Source organism: Homo sapiens, chromosome 22 (assembly GCF_000001405.40).
Source record: "Homo sapiens chromosome 22, GRCh38.p14 Primary Assembly".
Classification (NCBI taxonomy): domain Eukaryota; kingdom Metazoa; phylum Chordata; class Mammalia; order Primates; family Hominidae; genus Homo; species Homo sapiens.
Genome location: NC_000022.11, coordinates 36,544,136 through 36,545,436, shown reverse-complemented (window position 1 = coordinate 36,545,436; position 1,301 = coordinate 36,544,136). Strand labels below are relative to the sequence as shown.

The window sequence follows — 1,301 nt, the reverse complement described above, 5'->3', positions numbered from 1 at the left end:
AGTCAGGATTTGAACTCAGGACAGTGGGACCTCCTCAAAGTAGGAGAGTCTCAATAGTTCCAGCCACAGACATGGGATTTAAGGGGAGCCCCAGATAGGCAGGTAGATGCCTTGAAGAAAACAAAAGAATTATTGACATTTCTTTTGCCCAGGAAATTCTGCTTCCTTCCCAACTCTACCCTAGTACTCGCTGTGACCTTGGAGCCTCCCAGGAGAGGGGAACCCTTGGGCTCTGCATCCAGGGCCCAGTTCACACCCAAAGTCAGAGAATCCCAAAGCATTCCCTTCCAGGGTCCAAGCCTGACCAAAGGCCATGCGTGCTCCTTTAAGGGACTGGCAAGGGCAAAGTGGGGGATGGATCCCCTTCAAGGTCACTGTTAAACAGATGGTAACAAAATCTCTTGGGAGAAGGTGGCTACTTGTCAACAGTCATAATGACCCTCAGGTATCTAGAGTCCTCTTGAGCTAATGAGATGTCTGAGATTGCCTCCTGTCCACTTTCCCAACGTTTGGCCCTCAGAACACTCCTTTGAGGTCAGAATCCTTAGCTCTACCTTACAGATGAGGAAACTGAGGTTCAAGGAAAGGAAGTGACTCATCTGAGGTCATACTGCAAGTAAATGGCAGAGACAGGACTCAAGTCTAAGATTCCAGAGTACAAATCCTCCTAACTCCCGAGGAATCCAGAGACAGGGGAGGTAGAGTGGCCCAGAACTGTTTCTGGTTGACAGCTCTGGTTCTAGGGAAAGTAGTCCAAAAAGGTTTCTGGTTGGTAATCCTAGTTCTAGCCCCACTTCTGCCATCAGCAGGCTGTGTGACCCGAGATAAGTCACTGGGCCTCAGTCGCTTTATGCCAGAGATTCCTCGTGAGCTCTGACTTTGCGTCCTTTATTCATGTCCTTGAGCCATAAAGATGAGGGTGTTCAGCAGCATCTGCAGGTTTTATAGAGAAGCAGCTGTGACTTCGCCTCCCTTGGGAAGCTTTTCCTGACTGCCCAAGGCTGAGTTATTATTGCTCATCGTGCTCTCACAGCACCCACAGCATTGCACTGCAACTTATCAGCAAACTCCCACAGGCCCCAGCGGCAAACATGCATGACTATGAAGAAGTTTGAATCTGGTGCAATAGGGAGTAGTGGGGACTGAGGCAAAGTAGAGAGCCCCTGGCCAAGGGGGCAACTCCTATTCAGCTCCAGCTTCTTCTCGTATCGCAGGAAGGCCAGCCCGGTGTTGCCAGATCTTAAGAGAAGCCAAAAAACTAGATTTTTAGGTGAAATCTGCTTTTTAAACATAGACGCAAA

The 1,301-nt window shown here is 49.2% G+C and overlaps 1 annotated feature.

The window, feature by feature from the left end:
- Window positions 741-1,035: a silencer, noted in NCBI's record as "tiled region #13009; K562 Repressive DNase matched - State 8:EnhW". NCBI's record gives its function as "represses a minimal TATA promoter and a strong SV40 promoter by Sharpr-MPRA in K562 cells {active_cell/tissue: K562}" and the evidence as "EXISTENCE:reporter gene assay evidence [ECO:0000049][PMID:27701403]".